The 21,948-nt window shown below is 41.8% G+C and overlaps 1 protein-coding gene and 1 non-coding gene across 6 annotated transcripts in view, besides 3 other annotated features; both read right to left on the bottom strand.

Moving 5' to 3' along the window:
- Positions 1-14,271: 14,271 nt before the first annotated feature.
- Positions 14,272-21,948, bottom strand: part of FBXL7 (F-box and leucine rich repeat protein 7) — a 439,614-nt gene continuing 431,937 nt past the window's right edge. For all 5 annotated transcript variants that reach the window (NM_012304.5, NM_001278317.2, XM_017009262.3 and 2 more), the window contains one exon: positions 14,272-17,615. In NM_012304.5, coding sequence (NP_036436.1) covers positions 16,879-17,615 — 737 coding nt within the window. In that variant the 3' untranslated portion in view covers positions 14,272-16,878. The remainder of the gene's footprint in view (positions 17,616-21,948) is intronic.
- Positions 16,675-17,874: an enhancer, noted in NCBI's record as "CDK7 strongly-dependent group 2 enhancer chr5:15936300-15937499 (GRCh37/hg19 assembly coordinates)". NCBI's record gives its function as "activates an origin of replication core promoter dependent on BRD2, BRD4, P300/CBP, MED14 and CDK7 cofactors, with strong dependence on CDK7, by STARR-seq in HCT116 cells {active_cell/tissue: HCT116}" and the evidence as "EXISTENCE:reporter gene assay evidence [ECO:0000049][PMID:35650434]".
- Positions 18,734-19,234: an enhancer, noted in NCBI's record as "H3K4me1 hESC enhancer chr5:15934940-15935440 (GRCh37/hg19 assembly coordinates)". NCBI's record gives its function as "activates a minimal SCP1, AML or CMV promoter by ChIP-STARR-seq in primed H9 embryonic stem cells {active_cell/tissue: H9 hESC(primed)}" and the evidence as "EXISTENCE:reporter gene assay evidence [ECO:0000049][PMID:30033119]".
- MIR887 (microRNA 887) lies at positions 18,805-18,883 on the bottom strand. The gene has a single exon (NR_030616.1). It is a non-coding gene; the product is annotated as a microRNA 887 (primary transcript).
- Positions 20,239-20,804: an enhancer, noted in NCBI's record as "NANOG hESC enhancer chr5:15933370-15933935 (GRCh37/hg19 assembly coordinates)". NCBI's record gives its function as "activates a minimal SCP1, AML or CMV promoter by ChIP-STARR-seq in naive H9 embryonic stem cells {active_cell/tissue: H9 hESC(naive)}" and the evidence as "EXISTENCE:reporter gene assay evidence [ECO:0000049][PMID:30033119]".

Genomic DNA, 21,948 nt, shown 5'->3' with positions numbered 1-21,948 from the left:
GGAGGACATAACAGTGTGTTAGTTTGCAAGGGCTACCACTGCAAAGTAGCAGAGACTGGGTAGCTAAAACAACAGAAATTTATGTTTTCACAGTTTGGAAGTTAAAAGTCCAAGATCAAGGTGTCTTCAGGGTAGTTTCTCCTAAGGCCTCTTTTCTTGAGTTGTAGATAGCTGTCTTCTTGTGCGTCTTCACATGGTCTTCCCTTGGTACAAGTCTGTGTCCAAATTTCCTCTTCTTAAAATGACACCAGTCATACTGAACTAGGGCCCACCTGAATGAACTCATTTTAACTTAATTACCTCTTAAAGACCCTATCACTAAACATAGTCACATTCTAAAGTGTTAGGTATTAGAACTTCACCATGTGAATTCGGGAAAGTGGGGAGATACAATTTACCCCTTAATAAACAGTACCCGGGGTTGACACGGAGCTCAGAAGAGGGACTAATCTGAATAATCACATGCTGGTTCCATGAATTTCAAGAAGGAATACAGGTAAAAGACAGCATTCTCAAGATATTAGCGGGGTCAGCTAGGAGTTTTTCATATTCAGCAGTGTTACTGGAACTATTGATGATGAAGATGACAATGATGATGATGATGATGATGATTTAAAGCAGCACAGCTCTTCCTCACAGTGATAGTCCTTCCGTGTGTGGACCTAAGCTTTGGAGCCAGAGTAAAGAATTGTTTACTGTGGGTTGGAACTATCATCATTTACTATTTAATTGAAATATAAAGAAATGCAAAGGCATTGGAGGTGGTATACAACCTTAAACATAATGAAAAAGGATAACAGTCAAATGAAATACAGCAGCAGGAATAGATGCTACTAGTTATCTGGGAAAGAGCTAAAGATTATACTGTTTGGCCTTTAATTATTTTTTTATATTTCCTGGAAACAAAGGAAGATAAAAATATAATGAGATATGTCATTTTCATGGATTGCTGAAAGAAAGCAGGCAAACTTGTCTGCAGGGTAAATTTTTTCCCTGGAACTAAACCTAAAGAGATTTATTGTGTGAGACAGTTTGCAGAGATCTAAGTGAATGAAAAGTGTCAGATGTTGAAGAAAGGTAATGGATCATAAAATAGACAATGTCTTCAAATAGGTTTAATGAAAGTGATTTTTTTTTTTTTTGAGACGCAGTTTCACTCTTGTGGCCCAGGCTGGAGCGCAATGGCGCGATCTTGGCTCACTGCAACCTCCGCCTCCCAGGTTCAAGTGATCCCCCTGTCTCAGCCTCCTGAGTAGCTGGGATTACAGGTGTAAGTCACCACACCTGGCTAGTTTTTGCATTTTTATTTTTTTAGTAGAGATGGGGTTTCACCATATTGACCAGGCTGGTCTCAAACTCCTGACCTCAGGTGATCTGTCCTCCTCGGCCTCCCAAAGTGCTGGGATTACAGGCCTGAGCCCCCGTACCCAGCCAAAAGTAATTATTTTTAATAAAAACTGTCTTATATCTAACTTTAGTCTCATAAAGGGAACATTTGGCATAATTTGTATCTTTGAGAGAACAAAATTCTTAGAAAATGCACTTATCTTTGTGGTATCTGGCATGACAGTTAGTGGGAGAAAGAAACCTTGAGATACTGAGTAAACCATCCCATTGCAGCAAAGCCCAATAATGGGTGCTTGGACACACAACGACATGTCTAGAAATGATCTGGGCTTAGGAGTTGACAAAATTGAATGGCTTTTCAAAAGAAAATGCAAAAATTTCTCTGTCATTTTTTCCTTTTCATTTTATTTCTCTTTCTTCTTCTCCTCCAATCTTCCTCCTTTTCTTCTCTTAGCCTCTGAGAGAGGGATTAAAGAGCCAGTCAATGGCGTGACTGGGTAACAAAGAGCTGAATGTCTCTCAAGAATGGGATGCTCTGCATTTGATACAGCCAGTCTCCAAGATGGTTTCCCAGTGATCTTCAACTCTTGGAATTCATGCTTTTTGTCGTTTTCTCCACGTTGTATCAGGGACAGTCTGTGGGACCACTAGGATACAGCAGAAGTGATATATCCTAGTGGTCATTCCAAGACAGGGTCATAAAAGACCCATGGCTTCCAGCTTGCCATCTCTTGGCCCCTTGTCTGGATCGTTCACTCTGGGGGAAACTGTCAGCAGCCACTGAATGCGACTGAAAGTGGGTTCTCCAGCCCATCAAGCCTTCAGACGATGACTGCCGGGGCCAGTATATTCACTGGCAGACTCTCAACCAGAAGCACCCAGCTAAACTGCTCCTAATTCCTGACCCACAGAAACTGTCTGATAATAAATGTTTGTTGTTTGAAATTGCCAAATGTTGGGATAATGTGTAATCTGTAACAGGAAACTAATAACAGCATTCAATTGCAAAATTGTTTGCATTGCTATAATGCAAATACATTCTCTCTCTTGCTGAAATATCATCTTCAGAGAAGCCTTCCCTGAGCATCCTGTCAGAAATAGCCCCTTCACATCCTTGGGCACACAGTCTCCCCTTAACCTCTTTAGTTCTCCTCATAGTCCTCATCACTACCTGCTATTATGTTATGCTTTTATTTGTTTATTATTTGTCTCTCCTTCAGCAAAGTAAATTTCACAGGGCTATGGAATCACCTGTTCTGTCCACAATTTTAGAATCTAAAAAAATGCTTGGTCTATGGCTGGTACTTAGTAAATACTGGCTGAATAAGTTAAATGATTGACAAAGTCTTTCGTAACTGTTGGCTTACAAGGACTGAATTCTGAGCAGAGCAGGGCAACCAGGAGAAGCCAATGAGGTGATGGTCAGAGGGGATCTGAAGAGTGCAGGATTGGCCAGGACCCAATGGAGGATGGCAGATGGAGGTGTCAAGCAGTCTCCGTGTTGCTTTCCAGAAATTTCGTTGATAGGAGAACTGATAGACACTGGTGACTAATAATTTCTATAAGGAGGTTTTGTTGGGAGGTAATCTGGCTGAAGATGAGTTTTCATAGCCTCTTCTATGAAAGGCAGAAAAGCTCAAATGTCCATATCAAAGAAAGAAGTGTGATGGAGGCTTGGCTACAGTCCTTCTACATGTTATCCACTCAGATTGCCAATAGGGATAGATTAGTGGACTTCCCCTCAGGAATGGGACAGAGCCTTGAAGTTTTTGTCACGTAGATAGTGCAGGAAATGATGTCTGACTCTATTTTGTAGTCTGTGTTCATAAAGCCAGAAAATGTGTCAGCTAGCTTGGGGTCATCTTTGTTCTCTTTGTCTCCCAATCTGTAAGCAAATCCTATTTGGTATTATCTTAAAAACATACCCAGAATCTGACCACTTCTCACCACTTCCATCTTCACCAACGTGGTCCAAAGTACCCTCATCTCTCGCTTGGATTGCTGCAATAGTTTCCTAGCTAGTCCCTGCTTTTTCCCGGTGCCACTCAAGCCTGTTTCAGCACAAAGTCAGAGGGTGCTCTATTAAATATAAGTCAAATCATACTATTCATTTTGTTTATGATCCCCCTACTCACTGGGGGTAAATGCCAAATTCGTTACAATGGCACCAGCCTCTCACAAGCTGCTCCTATTACTTCTGGACTCCCAACTTCTACCACAGTGTCCCCAGGCACCCTGCCCCAGCCTTGCGGCCTCCTGCCAGTTCCTGGAACAAGCCAGGTGGGTCTTTGTTCCTGCCTCAAGGCCTTTGTTTTTGCTGTTTCAGCTGTCTGGAATGCTCTTCCAAAAGATATCCACTTGTCTGTTCCCTCACGATATGGTTTTGCTGTGTCCCTACCCAAATCTCATCTTGAATTGTAGTTCCCATAATCTCCATGTGTCCTGGGAGGGACCCAGTGGGAGGTAATTGAATCATGGGGGTGGTTACCCTCATGCTGCTCTCGTGATAGTGGGTGAGTTCTCATGAGATCCAATGGTTTTATAATGGGCTTTTCCCCTCCTTTGCTCTCATTCTTCTCCTTCCTGCCACCATGTGAAGAAGGACGTGTCTGCTTCCCCTTCTGCCATGATTGTAAGTTTCCTGAGGCCTCCCCAGCCCTGTGGAACTGTGAGTCAATGAAACCTCTTTCCTTTATAAATTACCCAGTCTCTGGTATGTCTTTATTAGCAGTGTGAGAATGGATTAATATAACTCATCTCCTGCAAGTCTTTTCTCAATGGTCACCTTTTCAGTGAAGACTTCTCTGAATGTCTTCTAAACATTAAAGTTTCTCCACACTGTACTCCTTGTCCTCCTTCCCTGCTTTATTTTGCATCATAGAATGTTCTCATCACCACCTATACACATGCATATTCTTATACATAGCCATGTTCTCACCCATACATGCACAGATACACCTGCACATATGTATACACACACATATAATTCATTTACTTTGTTTTATGCCTTATCTTTCTCTAATTGACAAGTGCCTTTCACACTTTAATCTGAGGACTCTGCTAAAATGCAGGGGCTGAATTTTTAACACGGAGATGCCGCTGGTTCATGGACCACACTTTGAGAACCAAGTCTCCAGAACTGTGCTAATGCATAGTCACTAGCCACATGTGTTTACATTAAGTTTAGATTAATTAAAATGCAATACAATTTAATATTCAGTTCCTCAGTCACAATAGCCACATTTCAGGTACTCACTAACCACATGTGACTTGTGGCTACCCTGTTGGGTGGCACAGGTACAGAACATTTCATTATCACTGAAAGTACAATGAGTGCTGCTCTAGCCATGTGTGACTACTTAAATTTAAATGAATTAAAATTAAATGAAATTTAAGAGGTCAGTTCTTCATTCACACTAGCCACATTCCAAGTGCTCAGTAACCACACATGGCAAGTGGCTTCTGTATTGGACAGTGGACGTACAGAATATTTCTATCATCACAGAAAGTTCTGTTGCACAGGATTGAAATTGCTGTAGAACATAAACTCCAGGAGGGCATGATCTTCTGTCTGTCTTGTTCCCTGCTATCTCTAGTGCCTAAAGCAATAGGACCCTTAAGTGCAGCCTCAAGAAGTGTTTGTTGATTTGAATCAAAATGCCATTTACATTTTGGTCTTTCCCCAATAGGTGGGTGTCTCAAAGGCAGAAATTGTGTTTGCTTTTTGTTATATCTCCAACAGCTAGCACAAGGAAGACCATCAATAAACACTTGCTGGATTGAATGTTCAGAACACTTTCAATTTTAAAGGCTCCTGAGAGGTCAATGTGTGGCAGAATCACATGCAAGCTGAATACCTGGCACAGGTAGCGCCTTTAGACTCTCATCTGTGGCTCTAGTCCTCCTTTTTTGTCAGATAAAGAGCGGGCTCAGGAACTGCTGCATTTGACACTTTAAGAGAAAAACTGCACAAGTCAACCATAGAAATCAATCCTCCTTATGTCTGAGAGATGCCTGAGATCTCTGATGTGAATAAGTTATCCATGAACAGTCCTTTTCCCCTTTCTGAACAGTACTCCACACTTCCAGGTATGCCATTTCATATAAATGCACTTCATTCTGAAATAGCAGCAATGTGAGACTTACATGACCGTGTTTCTTTCACATCTTTAGAATATTTATCTCTAGCACTTTAATTATGTCTTTCCATAGTCAGCTCTAACTGCTCTATCAAAAAGAAAACACTAAGAGGCAGCACATGCAAAAGTTTGCTTGTGTTCTTTGGACATTGTTTCCCTAGAAGGCTGGCTACTTCTGAATTATCAATGGTACTCTTCCTGCTATATTTTTCCGGAAAAAAAATGTCTGGCTAGAAAATTTTAAGTCAATACAAAAGACACATTTCTCTACTACCACATTGGAAAAAATATTGTGTTTGGCAAAGGGGAGACATCTGAATGCCATCAATAAATACCGTCATCTTTGGTCTCAGTAACTAGAACTGAGAAAAATATCTGTGCCATGAAGTCCTGTCTGTTTCCTAATTCAGATGGGTTATTTATCCCCTTGGCTCTCTCCTATAGCATTTCAATTTATTGGCTGAGTCAAACATCTTTTTTGTCCTTATTCCAGCATCAGTAGAATATCTTATTATTTTACTCTTTTTAGTTGGACAGACTGGCAAGATTTAGAGTGATTTTAATAAAAATTGAGGGCAGATGCAGCACTCAATATTTTTGACAGATAGGGTTCCATTCCTGTTTTGTTTTGTGTCCCAAAGCTAATGTGTCTTTTAAAGCTAAATAAAACACTAAGTAAGTGAGAATTTCAGGAACACCAGAAGCTTTTGTGAAATGGCATTAATGCTGGGTACTCCTCTACCAAATGTTTACATATGTATATATGTATGTCTATCTATTAACCTATCATCTATCTATCTATCTATCTATCTATCTCTATCATCTTTTTATATAAAAACCAGCCCCCAATATAAAATATAAATTATGGTAATACTTCCAAAGAACTTGACCCCTTAACCATTGTTGTCATATCCCTTATATAGAAATTAAGTAATTCTTCCAAACAACACAAAATCAGTGACAGAATCCAGAAGCAAATTCTGTACTGTCAAATCCTAATGTAATAATTAGTTAACCAGATATGACCATGTTATAAAGTTAAAGACAACTCTTGCACTTTGTGTCTGTAACATGCATGAGGGGAAGACTTGGTCCATGTTTCTTGGCTAGCTCTTTTGTGATCTGTGATGATTTAGGGTGAAAATTTAACCTAGTACAAGGCCATATCGAGGCTCTGCTATTATAGACTTCTAATTTCAAGAGGAATACTAATGACAGACATGAAGTTATTATTTTAGAAAGTCCCTTGGAGACAATCCAATTCCTGAGCCATGGTAAATTCAGGGACATTCGGAAGTTGTTATTAAAGAAGTGGAGAATGAATGAACTGTGTTTGTTCGGAAACTTCTGGTCCATACTTTGCTCTCAGGTTGGAGTGGTGGTAGGGGTTTATAGGAAGATTGGGAAATGGGCCCTAAATAAGTTCTATTATTTATTCTGATTCTGCTAAGACAGAAGAATGGTGGCTAAAAGTAGTTTTCTGGAGGATTAGGTGTTCAGATGTGCATAAATCCTGCTGAAGTGAGCTGCTTGATCCTAACTTGAAGCAGACTCAAATTTATTCATATACTATGGTATCTTGGAATAAGATAGAGATAATATCTAGAACTCTTTCACTATATTACCCCTGTGTATTTTATTCATTAAAACTCAAACAAAAAAAGACACACAAGGTTTTTTAGTTATATAAAGCAGTGAGATCAGCAGGTAGTCCTATGTCATAGGCAAACCGAAATGTGAAGTTTCTAATTACAATATTTTCAACCAAAATTGGATCACTTCTAAAATGTAACTTAATGTTCTCAAAGTTCAGCTATATGTATTTCTAGTCCATTGCCGAACATATGGAAAGAATATGTTTGGGCATAAAAAACAAAACAAAATACCCACAAATCTCTCGTTGTTGTGATATTCTCCTAACAAGTGTCATAAAGAACTTTGACACATTTCCCTATGTGGCTTTTTGAAATTATTGGATCACATTTATCACAGGGCTGATCTGTAGTTTAGCAACAGTTTTCAAAAGACAAGCTGATAGCCACTAATAATTTACATGAGGGGCCTTGGATTCTAACAGAAACAAAATTTAACCTTCTAAATGCTGCACAAGGTGCAGGAAAATTAGGAGGAAATTATGAGTGATGAATAAATATCTACAAACAGATCACAAAGTTTCTGGGGCTAAAATACCCCTACAAATTTGTTAAACATAGTTTATAGTTATGGGGTAATTAAGTCTCTGCATACAGTTTGGAATTCATCTGCCAGGAATGGAGTGGAATATTTCTGTGGTTTTCCATATTGAGGCTGGTTATCTTTCCAGGATTATCTCCAAAAATGTTCTGTGCTCCAGACAAATTAACCTTCATGTTCTGACAGTGGTATTTTCTGTTGGGCATTGAGCAATCTATGTGTAGCACTGTTGCCTGAGGAGCTCTTTGACACTACCACAGGCGCGTATGGAGACACATCTTCTGAAAATGGTGTACAACGTAAGGAGCCAATCTCAGCTAGCACAACTAATTATTCATCTCCATCAGAAAGAAAGAAAAATAGGACCAAAATATAAAACACCAAAACCCCAAAACATGGGACCTAAAAATATAGACTGAAACCTGAATTTGTGTTTCATCAGTCACCACAGAGTACTCTATTGGCAGTACTATACAAATGGAAATAAATACATGAAATTTATGCAACTAAAATAAGAAATGATAACCTTTAAAAAAAGTTTTAAAAGATGCATTTGTTATCACCATGAGAATTACCAATGCCTCTTGGTTTCAGCCAAAGGAAACTTCCAGGTCTTGCTTGGATCCATGCTACCTGCAAGGCTTAGCATTGGGTTCCCAAGCCCACAAGAGGGGAGCTTTGCTGTGGAGCTGCTGATATAAAACTTTTGCATCGGCCGGGTGTGGTGGCTTACAGCTGTAATCCCAGCATTTTGGGAGGCCGAGGTGGGCAGATCACCTGAGGTCAGGAGTTCAAGACAAGCCTGGCCAACTTGTTGAAACCCCATCTTTACTAAAAATACAAAAATTAGCCAGGCGTGGTGGCACACACCTGTAATCCCAGATACTCAGGAGGGTGAGGCAGGAGAATCACGTGAATTCAGGAGTCAGAGATTGCAGTGAGCTGAGATAGCACCATTGCACTCCAGCCTGGGCGACAAGTGAGACTTCATCTCAAAAAACAAACAAACAAACAAAAACTTTTGTATCATTCAGAAAATCTGATAGAAAGGGTTACTTGTCTCCTTGGCCAGAACAAGTTATTAGCTGTGAAGAATTAGTCATCAGGCTGGGCATGGTGGCTCACACCTATAATCCTAGCAATTTGGGAGGCCAAGGTAGGCGGATTGCCTGAGCTGAGGAGTTTGAGACCAGCCTGGGCAACATGGCGAAAACCCATCTCTACTAAAAATACAAAAAATCAGGTGGGTGTGGTGGTGTACTCCTATAGTCCCAGCTACTCAGGAGGTTGAGGCATGAGAATCGCTTGAATCTGGGAGGCGGAGGAGGTTGCATTGAACCAAGATCACGCCACTGCACTCTAGCCTGGACAACAGAGTGAGACTCCGTCTCCAAAAAAAAAAAAAAAAAAAAAAAAAAAATAGTCATTGCTGCCCTTAGCCCACAAGGCCAGTGAGTGAACAGAAATACTCAATGCTCAGCACCTGAGAATGCGTGGCTTTTCTTTTGTAAATGCAAAAGGAGTCGTTACATAACATGATCACCTTTAAGATTATTTTGCCACTTGCTTTTGGGATTAAGCACAAGTTTTAAGAGAAAAGGAGATTAATGCTCTCCCGTGCAGTGTTTGTATTTCTCATTGCCTTCCTGTGTGTGATATTTTTAAAAGAAACATTACACACAGGAGCCCCCAGGCGAAGGTACCAGGGAAACAATGCCAGCTTGGAAATCCGGAGGAGATTCTATTTCTCATTATGTGAGAGGTCATTACTTGAATGTTTCTTTTTCTCTCACTTTTTTTCTTTAAATCTACAACCTCTTGATCTCTAACCCTCCAGAACATCCATGGTCATTATTCTTTGGGTATTTTAAAATTAGGAAAGTAGAGAAGAGCCAACCAGAGTCCCGTAGCCCTGACTAGCTAATGGATGCCTGGGCGCCATTCACACAGATCCACCATGTCATAAATCTGTATTTGCCTGTGTGGTTGTAAAAAGAACAAGAGAAATAGTTTGAATTCTCCCTCTCGGGTTCTTCTACTCAAGCAAGGATTTGCTGGGCAAAATGATGTCTTCAGGGACTTTGCTAAGTGGCAATGGATTATGAAAAACCAATATCTGCCTATTGTTAAAGGGTGAGATTGCAAAATGAGGAATTGTGCAGTTGAAATCTGGGGCATTTGTGTAGTTACTCTGGAAGTGTGGAAAATGTAAAATTGTACCCAGGTAATTACATCTACTTGGTCTCCATCTCCAGAAGAAGGCTTTGAGAGGAAATAGAGAAGGCTATTCATCAGTCGTGACAGTTTTGTCCCATTATCTACTTTCTCATAAATGGAAAGGGCCTTGATAAGTTTGTTTAAGTTTTAAATGTAAACACCCATGAAGAATACATTCATGATGTAAAACCTGTATTTTTAAAAAGTTTTATTTATGGAGAGTGGCTGTGTTCATTAGTGGTTGGAAGAAGACTGGAGAAAAAGGAAGTACCAATTATTGGCTAATCTTTGTAATTAGAAATCCTCTCTCCTATATCTTTTGCATGTCTCTCTGGAAATGGGCTTAATGAGCCTACTCAGATTCTGGGAGACTCCTGGGGCCCTGAAAAGTCACAAGGACTGTCGGCTCTGACTGCTAGAGAATGGGATTTAAAAGCCTTCCTCTCTCTCTCTCTCGCACTTCCTAATGGCTGTCACTGTTTAGTTTATTATTACTGTGGGCAGATAATTTCACATTCATAACCCTGATGGAATTTGAGGTTTCAAAGAACTTTTCCTCAATGAGTTGGCAAGTAAAATTCATTTCTTGGCAATCTTAAAGAGTATTTAATTAATCTGACTTGAGCCACAGTGTATTTTGAAAATTATTGACATAGTCTAGTTTTTAGTAAAGGAACATGGTAAATTCAGGAACCTCAGTTATTCTGATCATTCCCATTACAGGTATGTAGCAATTAGAGTGACATCAAAGAGTGCCCATGTGGGCTGAAAAATCCCAAGATTATTGAGGGAGGGAGTTCCTATGCATTTCTCTTTGAGCAAGATCCTGGGGAATCATGACTGCCAGTTCATATACACACACATGTGTACATGGTATGTGTCTGTGCATGTATGTACACACAGGCATTAATCTTTGGGAATGCTGGGCAGGGTGGCCCACACTTTAAATGCCAGCACTTTGGGAAGTCAAGATGGGGAGAACACTTGAGCCCAGCAGTTTGAGACTAGCCTGGGTAACACGAGGAGACTCTCACGCTACCAAAAGAATGAAAAAAAATTAACCTGGTGTGGTGGCAAGTGCCGGTGGCCCTAGCTACTCAAGAGGCTGAGGCAGGAGGATTAATTGAGCCTAGGAGGTAGAGGCTGCTGTGAGCTGTGATTGTGCCACTGCCCTCCAGCCTGGACAACACAGTGAGACCCTGTCTAAAAAATATATATATATATATATATATATATATATATATATATATATATATATATATGAAGACACTAGAACAAAAGAACTTGCCATGTTTTCACATGACCAACCTAAAGCAATGACCATGTTAACCTATAGTTAATATAGTTAATGTTTTGATAATATTAAAGAGTAGAGATAAATTATTTCACTAACCTTATTAAATATTTTTTCCCTGAGTGGGCTCCATGTACTCTGTTTTGGATGTTAAAGAGCATCACTCCTCCAAGTCCACCTTGTCTGAGTATATAAAACCCAGCTCAAGGGTCTTCTCTAAGAGATGAGCCTAAGCCTTGTTCTTCTCTCCCAATAATGTGCTGAACATTATTTCTTTAGTAAGTTCTGTCAGGACAGCACTCCCAGTGATAAAACAGTATCTGACATCTCTTAAGTTATTAATAAATACTTGTTGGATGAATGAATGAATGTTGTCACATTCTTTTTTATATTCCACTCTTCCATCCTACCTTACTATATATTACTCTTATTTGACTGGAGTTTCTTTGGGGTAAGGATATTGTATTTGTTCACTCAGAACTTGTAAAACTTGGCATAGAGTAGATGGTCAATAAATCATTGTTAAAGGTTTTTTTTTTTTTTTTTTTTTGAGATGGAGCCTTGCTCCATTGCCAGGCTGGAGTGCAGTGGCGTGATCTTGGCTCACTGCAACTTCTGCCTCCCGAGTTCAAGCGATTCTCCTGCCTCAGCCTCCCAAGTAGCTGGGACTACAGGTGCACGCACCCACACCTAGCTAATTTTTTCTATTTTTAGTAGAGACGGGGTTTCATAATGTTGGCCAGGATGGTCTCAATCTCTTGACCTTGCGATCCGCCCGCCTCGGCCTCCCAAGTTCTGGGATTATAGGCGTGAGCCACTGCACCCGGCATGTTAAAGGTTTTTAAAAACATAATTGGTACTTCTTGGGCTGCCTTTGTGTGTGAAGAATGATTGCCATTTCTAGTCACAATCATGTGTTGATCATCACATGGGCCAGGATAAAATTTGGATATACTGATCTCATCAGAGTAAAATTCAGTGGTTGAAGGGCTGCAAAGACAAATATTCCACAACATAGAATTGACTGGTTTGGAAATATTTAGGTCAAGAATTTTTTTTAATGACCCTTCAAGGCCCTCCTGTGACACCTGGATGATGCTGATTGCTTATACTTGAGTATAATCTAGAGCACGAAGGCTGCCTTCCTGAGTAGTCTATGTCATCAGCATCTGAGATGCAGACACTTCCTGGGACAGCTCTGCAGGAGATGCCACAACTGTCTGTTGACACACAGGGATTGTACCTTGTCCAGTTCCCAAACGGAGATGTTTTTGCATCCTGTGTGGTTTAAAATGCAAACTGATCTACTAATTTCAGAGGGTAAAAAGGATCCTACAAGATGGACCTGTGGCTTTAGGAGATAATGATGCTCTCAAAGAAAAAAGGAGGAATAACCATATCCTGGGTGATTCCTGGATGTGATGCCCCCAATCCGAGTGTCTATGAGAGTATTTCTTATTCTGGGTAAATGGCTTTTGCCCCCCTGGTGGTCATCTGAATGAGACTTGCCAGAGTTGCTCTTTAGCAAAGTGGAGCTGTGTTTAGGCAACTCTTGGTGATAGCATGGACATCGACTGTGGACAAATAATGACGGGCACTCCTCCTACCCCCACACCCCTCCCTACCACAGCAGGACAGCTTCTGGTGTAAAGATCAAAAAGCAGAAAAGCAACAGAAAAACTAATTTTGTGCCACAGATTTTCTGTGTGAATATTCTCACTGCAACATTTACCTAGTCTTTCAATATTCTTTCTCCCTATTCCCCTGTCTAGTCAGCATTTCTTCCAATTAGCTTCTCTCTAAACTAATCATGATTGCCAGCTATTGAACAAATACACTACTTTTGGTGACTTCCTTGTGATAATTTAGACACAGTAAGCACTTGTATTATATTACTTTTCCCCCGAAAAATACTCAATCCTCTTTCTTTTCATTTTGCATGCTCTAGATAGCAAACTTCCTGAAAACTTTTTCTAATGAAGTCTGAACAAATGTCAGTTTAAGAGGTCATGAACCTCAAAGGTGAATGCATTTTACTTACTTCTGGGCTTATTCCAGGATCTTGACAAGAATTGCATGGGGCGTCCTCAAATTCATGTTGCAAGCCATTTAAGGGTCCCATTGGTTTATGTGAGAGTTGTTTAAGCAGCTAACACAGGATGAGAAGAAGGTCAAAGACAAATATAGTTAAAATTAATATCTCTCAATACTTTTTTCTTGCTAAGGATGAACTTTCCCATTCATCTATCAGTACTTGCTTTTTGCCATATTGATTTCTCAGATGGAAAAGTTTGGGTGGGGAAGAAGGGATTTGGCATTTCACTTTTTCTAACTGACTTAGATCAGTTTTCCATCTTCTCCTTCCAGGTTCTATTAGGATGGTGCAAAAGTAATTTCAATTTTGCCATTAAAAGTAATGGCAAAAATAATTACTTTTGCACCAATCTAATAGTACTCTAAGACACTTTAACAAATTATAACAACGAATGGTCAGCATAATTTTGAAGTTTCCTCCAATGCTTGTAACCAGTGCCAAGGTAAATATATTCATGTCCTTAGCTCTTCATAATTCTGAAATCCAGAAAGCTCTGAAAAAAATAGAAGTTTTTGTGTTATTTATGGTATAAATTAATTTCCTGACAAAACCGGATCTCAACTGATGCAAGGCTATTTATAGTCTATAATAATCTCATGTCATGTGACTATTCAGATCTATTGCTGAAGAAATATTAATATGACTGGTTAAGGGTGATGTCCCAGTCACTGAGGTAGGTATTACAAAACCCACCGCAGATAAATTTTTTATTTTTTGGAGACAGAGTCTCACAGGGTTTGGGTTAAGGAATTGAAGACCTGAACTATACTGTGAAGGTAATGGTTTTTCACTTACCTGCCAATTTTAAGCCAAAATCACTGGTCCAAAGGAGATGAGAAAACCATCGCTGTATCTCCAAGCAGGCAACAGTGGCAGTGACCTGGCTTGCTCTGTCCTTCAAAGAAAGTTTTCTGCATACTTTTGAGGGCCCCCAACCAAACAGCACTCTCCTCTGGAAAGGTTATTAAAAATGAAGCTGAGGCTGATTACGAACATATTGCTTTATTTCTTGGTAGTAAATTAAGGCTTTCTAGATTCATACAGCACGCAGTGATTTGAACATTAGAATTAAAAAACAACAACAACAAACAATGAGCATTCAATTTAGCAGAGCCAGGAAGGAAGCAATGTTTTAAAACAGATAAATTTCCTAGTGAGACCTTTGGTTTGGTCTCCAAAAATCTGCTGAGCTGTTTCCCCAGTAACCTCCATCATAGATTCCCACCCCAAGGGAGAACAGAATGGATGAACAGGAGACTGGGAGAAAAGAAGAAACTGGCAAGACGGTATGTGCTGGGCAATCAGTGTGAACAGTCAGCTTTGTCTCATGTTTGGAAGACAGTTTAGGTGATGCGGTCAGGGATTCATTCTCTGGATCTCCCTGCTCATTCTCAGAGTATTAAACCAGCTCACTCGGAAGACCCCAGGGCCAAGGATTAGGGACAATCCTTTGTGACACCCAAATCCTGAAACTTCAAATAGGGTCACAAGTCACAGAGCTGAGGAATGCTGCCTTCAACTTCTTTCATGGTTTTAAACTCTGTGGCTTTCACTAGATCCTGGCCTAGCTAAATGATTCATTTCCCCCATGGCACAGAGCCTTGATTACACATGTAATTTGATGATGTTGATTGGATGGGAGGCCATGATGTTTGAAAGAAACCTCCTGGGCAGACACCACCTCATCACACTAACCTCTCCATCCCCCACAGAAGACGACAGTATGCACAGGAGCCTACAGTAGGAGTGCAGTTGTCAAGGGTGTCTAAGTTTGACAAATTCAGCATAACTGGCTTGGAGATGCAGAGGTTCTGCATTTGGATAATGGGCATTTTGAGAAGAAAATAAATGAGGGATTTCAACGTAACAAAGGTGGGGCTTGGCTAGAGAATAATCTGGGAAAGGGCCATGTGTTTATTAGCAAAAGACAAGTGAATTTCGTGAAAACCAGCAATGGAATTTCTTCTGGCTATCTGACTTCATGCAAATGAGGCTAGAATATAGACTTCTATCCAAATAAGATAATTTGAAGTTTCATCCATTTAAAATCCATACCTTGTAATGATTTTAGTATTCCTTTCCAAGGGTCTGGTTGGTGGACCAGAGTCTAAGTCATCTCAGTGTGTTCCCTCTTCCATTCATCTGGCATTGTTGAGTGAACAGAATTTAAACACCTGGAAGTCTGCTTTGCATTCTTTGGTGGAAAACACGCAGACAGACATGGAGGAGGTACACAGGGTGGCAATTTGCACAATTAAACACTTACAAACTTAACCCCAATAGGCTTCATGTGATGAAGTCTGGATGTATAAAGAAATAAATAGATGAGAAGAGGTCAAATGCAATCTGAATGACAAAGAACCGAGGCATCTGTCTCTGCCAGCTGTAGGACAGATGTGCCTGATGCATGCCAGGTGTGCAAGGCGAGGGATCAGAAAAACTTTTGAGGACATGTGTTCCCTTGGGCCTTGCTTGTTAATTAAAAATTGCAAGGGCCTTTACTCCTATTTGAAAACACTGAGTAAAAGCAACTGATGGGGGGATCTGGGCTTTGCTGTGATTAGGTGTGCTGGTGCCTCGCTAGGATGGTGTGGAGGGGGGAATGCAGAAAGTATTTGTGTACAGAGACGACAGCATCCAGCCTGGCAAAAGAGGATGTGAGGAGGTGGGAGAGGAAATTCTCCCACTGAAACACAGGGAAGTGGGTGATTTGCAGCCAAAGGACATACAGGACCCTTTATGCACTGATGCTGGCACTGCACAATCTCCTGAAATCACATCCATCCACAGAATCAGTTCTCCTGGAAGAGGTCGATGCCTGGGTGCTCTATGCCAAGGTGCTTCTGTGTATGGGTATCTCTGCTCCCTCAATGCTATAATGGACATGAAGCTAATCTTTGGGCTGTGTGGCCTCTGATTCAGTGCTGGAAGCTGCAGCCCAGAGCAGTGAAGTGCTTTGGCCAAGGTCATAGTCATTGACAGAGCTGGGGGAGGACTGCATGTCCTTCCCCAGCTGTTTGCTGTAATGAATTTTTTAAAAAGGCCTGAAAAGTATTTTGCCTATGCAAAGTGCTATGGTATTGAGTTGACAAGAATGTCCATGGGTGTGGGATTGAAGAGAGTGACTTAGGTCAATGAAGCAGTTTAGAGAGGAGGTCTGGAGAGCACTGTGATTCTGATGATGGATCCTCGCTGCTGCTCTAGGGAGGGAGGGTGTGGCCTTGGGGGGGGGGCGTGGAACTGTGGGGGTGGGGCCTGTGTGCGAGGGAAAGGGCGGCCTTGGGGGCCTGAGCGGAGGAGAGTAAGCGCCTTGCTCAAGGAACAGCGATCAGCCTGCTTAAGTACATCTTTTGTGAGAAGAGAAACTGCCTACAAATGACCTGACCAAAATGCCTGTTTGCTGTTTGTCTTGCTTCGTTTCTTTGGCCTCTGTTGCCCATGAGAAATGAGGAAAAATAAAGGCCAGATTCCTAATAACCTTCCCGGAAGAAAGAGCTGTTTTGAGTGGGTGTCGGTGCTTACATACGCTGCTTTTAAAAAAATTTGCTTTGTTCAGGTTTGTGTGAATACAACGCCGGATGAACTCTGTCCCTTCAGAAGAAAGCCGGGTTGGTGTGCTCGATGACGCAGCGCTTGCAGTGGCGTTTGACAAAGCGCAGGGCCTCCACGGAGACCTCGCAGTCCTGGACATTCAGCGTCTGGAGGTCAAAGCAGTTGGCGGCCACGATCTGCAAGCCCTGGCCGGTGATGCTCTCGCAGGACTTGAGGCTGAGCCGCTTGAGGTTGAAGCAGTTCAGGGCCAGGCACTCCAGGCCCGTGTCGGATACCAAAGGGCATTTGCCGATATCCAGGGATTTGAGTTTGGTGCAGTTCTTGGCGAGGTACTCCACACCGTGGTCCGTGATGCCCTCGCAGCCCCTCGCGTTGAGGTAGCGCAGCTTGCTGCAGTACTTGGCCACGTAGCGGATGCCCACGTCGGTGACCCGGCCGCAGTGCGCGATGCTCAGGTACCGCAGGCGGGACTCCAGCTTGGCGATCTCCCGCAGGCCGAAGTCGCTGACGAAGCGGCAGTCGCTGACGCTCAGCTCCTTGATGGAGGCGCAGTAGATCACCAGGTAGCGCAGGCCTTCGTCGGTCAGGCGGACGCAGCGGCGCAGGTAGAGGTGGGTGAGCTGCGTGCAGTGCGCCGCGATGGTGTGCAGGCCTTCGTCCTCCAGCACGAAGCAGTCCGTCATGTCCAGGTAGCGGATGGAAATCTGTTTGCCATGCAAGGGTGACAGTTTAATGGAGGCCTCCCGGGTCAAGCTGATGCAGGTCACTTTGGAGCATCCTGCACAAAGAGACAGAACACAGGCTCAGAGCAACCTGCCAGCAGGGGAGCCACGCCTGGGGATGCCCTGGGGCATTCCTGACCCTCGCCCAAGTCTGGGTCCGAGGCTGATGTTACCCTTTCCTGTCTTGGTCTCTATAGAGAGGAAATGCAAGAATGGGTTCCCCATATTTATCTGATTATTTAACTACATTATTTCTATTATCTGGGCTTAAGAGGATTGGATCAGAAAAACCATGGTTCCAATTCCTGATCTGTCATCTGTCCCTACTTGCCTGACATTTAGCAAATCAATCCTTCTGAGTATTTCCTTTGTCTTAAAATAGGGAGGATCCCATTCCCTGGGAGGCAGCTGGGATGGAGTAATGAGAGGATGTGTGTAAATATCTTGCCTTGGCCCTGGAAAGTTCCAGGAGCTCAGTAAAAGTGAGTTCTTGAGCTGCCCTGGTTTGGAAGCTCCCTGGTCCAAAGTAAGATATGAAAGACAAAGCTCGGGCATGTACCTTGGTTTAGCAGAAAGAACACTGGGTTAGGAGTCACACCTGGTTCAGGCAGGAGGCTTAACGTTGCTGCTTCTCAGAACTGTCCTTTATGCAATGGGAATGAATAGGTGGTGAGCCGACACTTCAGATATAATGAGGATGCAATGAGAGAACAGATATGCATGTGCTCTGAAAACGCTATGGGAAGTGAATATATTAGTCTAGCAAGGTGACCTTCTGTCAATTGAACAGACCTTCTGAGTCAATCCAACTCTCTTTAGTTGAGGAAGAACAACTGTGTTATCTGGATTGTTGCTGTAGCCCTTGAACAAGACTCCCTTCCCTGCCCTTAGCTCCTACAGTCGATTCCCCACACCCCTATTTGCCAGAGGCGTCTTGGAAAACGGAACTCGAAGCTTGCCCCTGTGCAAAGCCTCGGGATGACGCCCGTTCACTCCAGGTGTCCTTGAATCAGACTCCCTTCCCTGCCCTTAGCTCCTACAGTCGATTCCCCACACCCCTATCTGCCCGAGGTGTCTTGGAAAACGGAACTCGAAGCTTGCCCCTGTGCAAAGCCTCGGGATGACGCCCGTTCACTCCAGGTGTCCTTGAATCAGACTCCCTTCCCTGCCCTTAGCTCCTACAGTCGATTCCCCACACCCCTATCTGCCCGAGGTGTCTTGGAAAACGGAACTCGAAGCTTGCCCCTGTGCAAAGCCTCGGGATGGCGCCCGTTCACTCCAAGTGTAAAATCCAGAGTCTAACAGGGCTCCCAAGGATCTGCACCCCGGGGCTCTCTGACGGCATCTTTTACCTCATTCCTCCAACGCCACTGGCCTGCTTGTCATTTCCCGCACACCACAAATGCTCTCCAGCCTCTGAGCACTGGAAATGGCTTCCCTTAGCCCTCCAGACTTTCCCAGGTCTCAGAGCCAATCTGTTTATAGAAAAATTTGTCCCCAACCATGCTTGTATAAACTAGCATCCCCTGCTTTCCTCCCCTTTATTTTCAGGAGTCTTTATCCCTGGGTGGCATTATATATTTATTTATTCACTTATTTATTTGCTGTCTCCTCACTCTGGAATGTAAGTTTTGAGAAAAGGGACTTGGGGCTGTTCACTGCTGTCTCATTTCTGGTTCATAGCTGGTGCTAAGTATCTGTTGAATGAATGAGCGGTTTATAGAGGGAAAAGAGTCTTCCATAAGAGGATCAGATGAGATCATCCAACTTCCAACAGTCTTCAGGACCTTGGCTGAAGTATACCTACATTGAAAAACAGTTGTCTGTTTTATAGTTAATGATAATGTCTTTTATTTGTGTTGAATCACGAAGTTTACAAAGGGCTTTTATAAACATTTTCTTACCTGATTGTTAGAACAATATTAATGCTCAGGAAGGTATCTTTAGATGCCTCTCTAAACATCGTTTCTAATCTCCTAAAAAATATGTATGCATAAGTTATATATATACACACTATATAATTTATATATTTATATATAGGAAACACTTATTTCATGGTATATTTAAGTTCTCTATATATTACTCTATAAAAACACGTACAGTATACTTATGGTATATTAATGTAACTAATATCCATAGTCTATAAATATTAGGTTAGTGCAAAAGTAACTGTAATTTTTGCAATTAAAATGGCAAAAACCGACTGGGTGTGTTGGCTCACGCCTGCAATCCCAGCACTTTGGGAGGCCCAGGCGGGTGGATTGCTTGAGCCCAGGAGTTCAAGACTAGCCTGGGCAACATGGCAAAACCCCGTCTCTACTAAAAACACAAAAATTAGCCAGGTATGGTGGTGCATGCCTGTAATCCCAGCTATTTGGGAGGCTGAGGCACGAGAATTGCTTGAACTTGGGAGGCGGAGGTTGCAGAAAATCTGGAGCGCACCACTGCACTCCAGCCTAGGTGACAGGGCAAGACTTGATCTCAAAATAGATAAATAAAGACAAAAACCGCAATTACTTTTGCACCAACCTAATATTTTATAAATAAATGTATATTTTTATGTATTTCATTCTACTACCGAGGCTGTATATATATTTTTCATTTTCTCTCTGCTCTTCTCAAATCTCTCGGGCAGTTCTACAGCTAGGCGCCTCACTTCGGACACTTCTGCACCTTGGCTGTTTCACGCAATATCCAAGGCTTCCCAGCAGCCTCACAAAAGTGCTAACGAGGACCTTCCTCCCACCTCCTGGTAGGCTGCCCAGGAAACTCTTAGACACTCAGGCCCTGGGAATAATGAGGTTCAAAAACCACGTGCTACTAAGTCAAAGAATTTCAGGAAGGAGTGAAGCACACACTCCAAAAATGGAGAACAAAAACAGCTTGTCAGAGGCAGGTCACACTGTTCCAGTGGGCTTTGTGGTTTTGCAAAAGGTGATTAGTCCCTTTTAGCTTTGAAATTTCCCTTTGTTTTGAGTTTCTTTCTTGAGGCTGACTGTAATCCTGCTTGCACTGAATTTGTTTTTCTATGGTAGTGATTGGCCATCTGTGACGCCTATAAAGACACTTTGTTTTTCAAGATCATATGATAACCTTTGCTCTTAAACTCTTGGTTCTAGTTTCCTTTCTTTAGAAACAAAATTAGCAAAATCTGCTACACTCTAGGAAAGATAATATATTTGGTCCAGGAAAATGTATACTTTGCTTTTGAAACTGAATTCCAAATTTAATGAAATACTTGTTTAGTTCAGTTTTGGTAAAGAGACTATTTTATAGGCTTGTATTATTTTAGATCAATAATTTTAGATTTTAGGTTTTGCCCAAACTCTTATAGATTTGCTAGGTTTGGGATGAAAAGAAAGTAAATTGGTTCATGGCTCAGCAGGTATTATTTATGATTAGTTCACACATTCAAACATTATAGACATGGAGAGAACCTTAGAAATCATCCAGAATAAACATCATTTTTTTTCAAGATGAAGCATCGCAGGCTCAGTGAGATTATATGACTTGTACAACCAGACTACAGATAAGTTTCTTGACTCCTCATTCCAAGACTTCAATTTAGAAAGGGACTTAAGAAGTGACTATGATGTATCATAGAGTTGAAAAATTACACAAGAGATATACAGTAGAAAATGAAGTGAACATTCAGACACCGGGCACCCAGGGGTCTTTGGAAACTTGGAAGCCACCATGGCATAATTTCCAAAGGGGCCCTTGAAAGAGAGAAATAATTTGGATGCATAGATGTGGAGTGAAAACCAATTTGCATATATATTAATAGATATGGAGTCCAGGTAGTAAGATAATAGACACATCCCAGAGAAAGGAAAGCAAGGGGCAAGTCCATGGGAGGGTTAGGGTATCCATGAGGTGAAACTTAGGGTGTCTGAAAGGATTTAGTCAAAACCAAGGCAAGAATTGTCTTTTGGGATGAGATCAGGGGACTGCTTTGACATCTAGGGTAAGGTATATAAATATTATTCAGTAGGGAATAGACAACATAGGTTGAATAAATCTGCGGCGTTTCTTCAGTTAATCCCAGATTTCATTCCGCTTTCACAAATATGCTCTTTATTACCACTTCCTCTCATTATTAGGGTGATATCTCTATCTCTTCTGGGGTGTCAGATGGTTAAGTCAATGAAGAACAACTGCTGACTTCCAGGCAGGTTAATAACAAGGACAATACAACGACAATGACAGCTGCGATTTATTGAGTGCCTCCTACGTGGTTCCCTTCAGAGCATGTGTTTGAGAACTTAACATGTCTTAACTCATTTAATCCTCCCAACCACCTCACTTTTACTGATGAGGAATTTTTAACTGTTGCACTGCAGCTTCCTAAATCCTTGCTTAGAGTATTAACCAAAGGGAACTTTAAGC

The sequence above is a fragment of the Homo sapiens genome, chromosome 5 (assembly GCF_000001405.40).
Source record: "Homo sapiens chromosome 5, GRCh38.p14 Primary Assembly".
Taxonomy (NCBI): domain Eukaryota; kingdom Metazoa; phylum Chordata; class Mammalia; order Primates; family Hominidae; genus Homo; species Homo sapiens.
The sequence above is the reverse complement of the archived record's forward strand: the minus strand, read 5'-3'. Positions and strand labels throughout refer to the sequence as shown.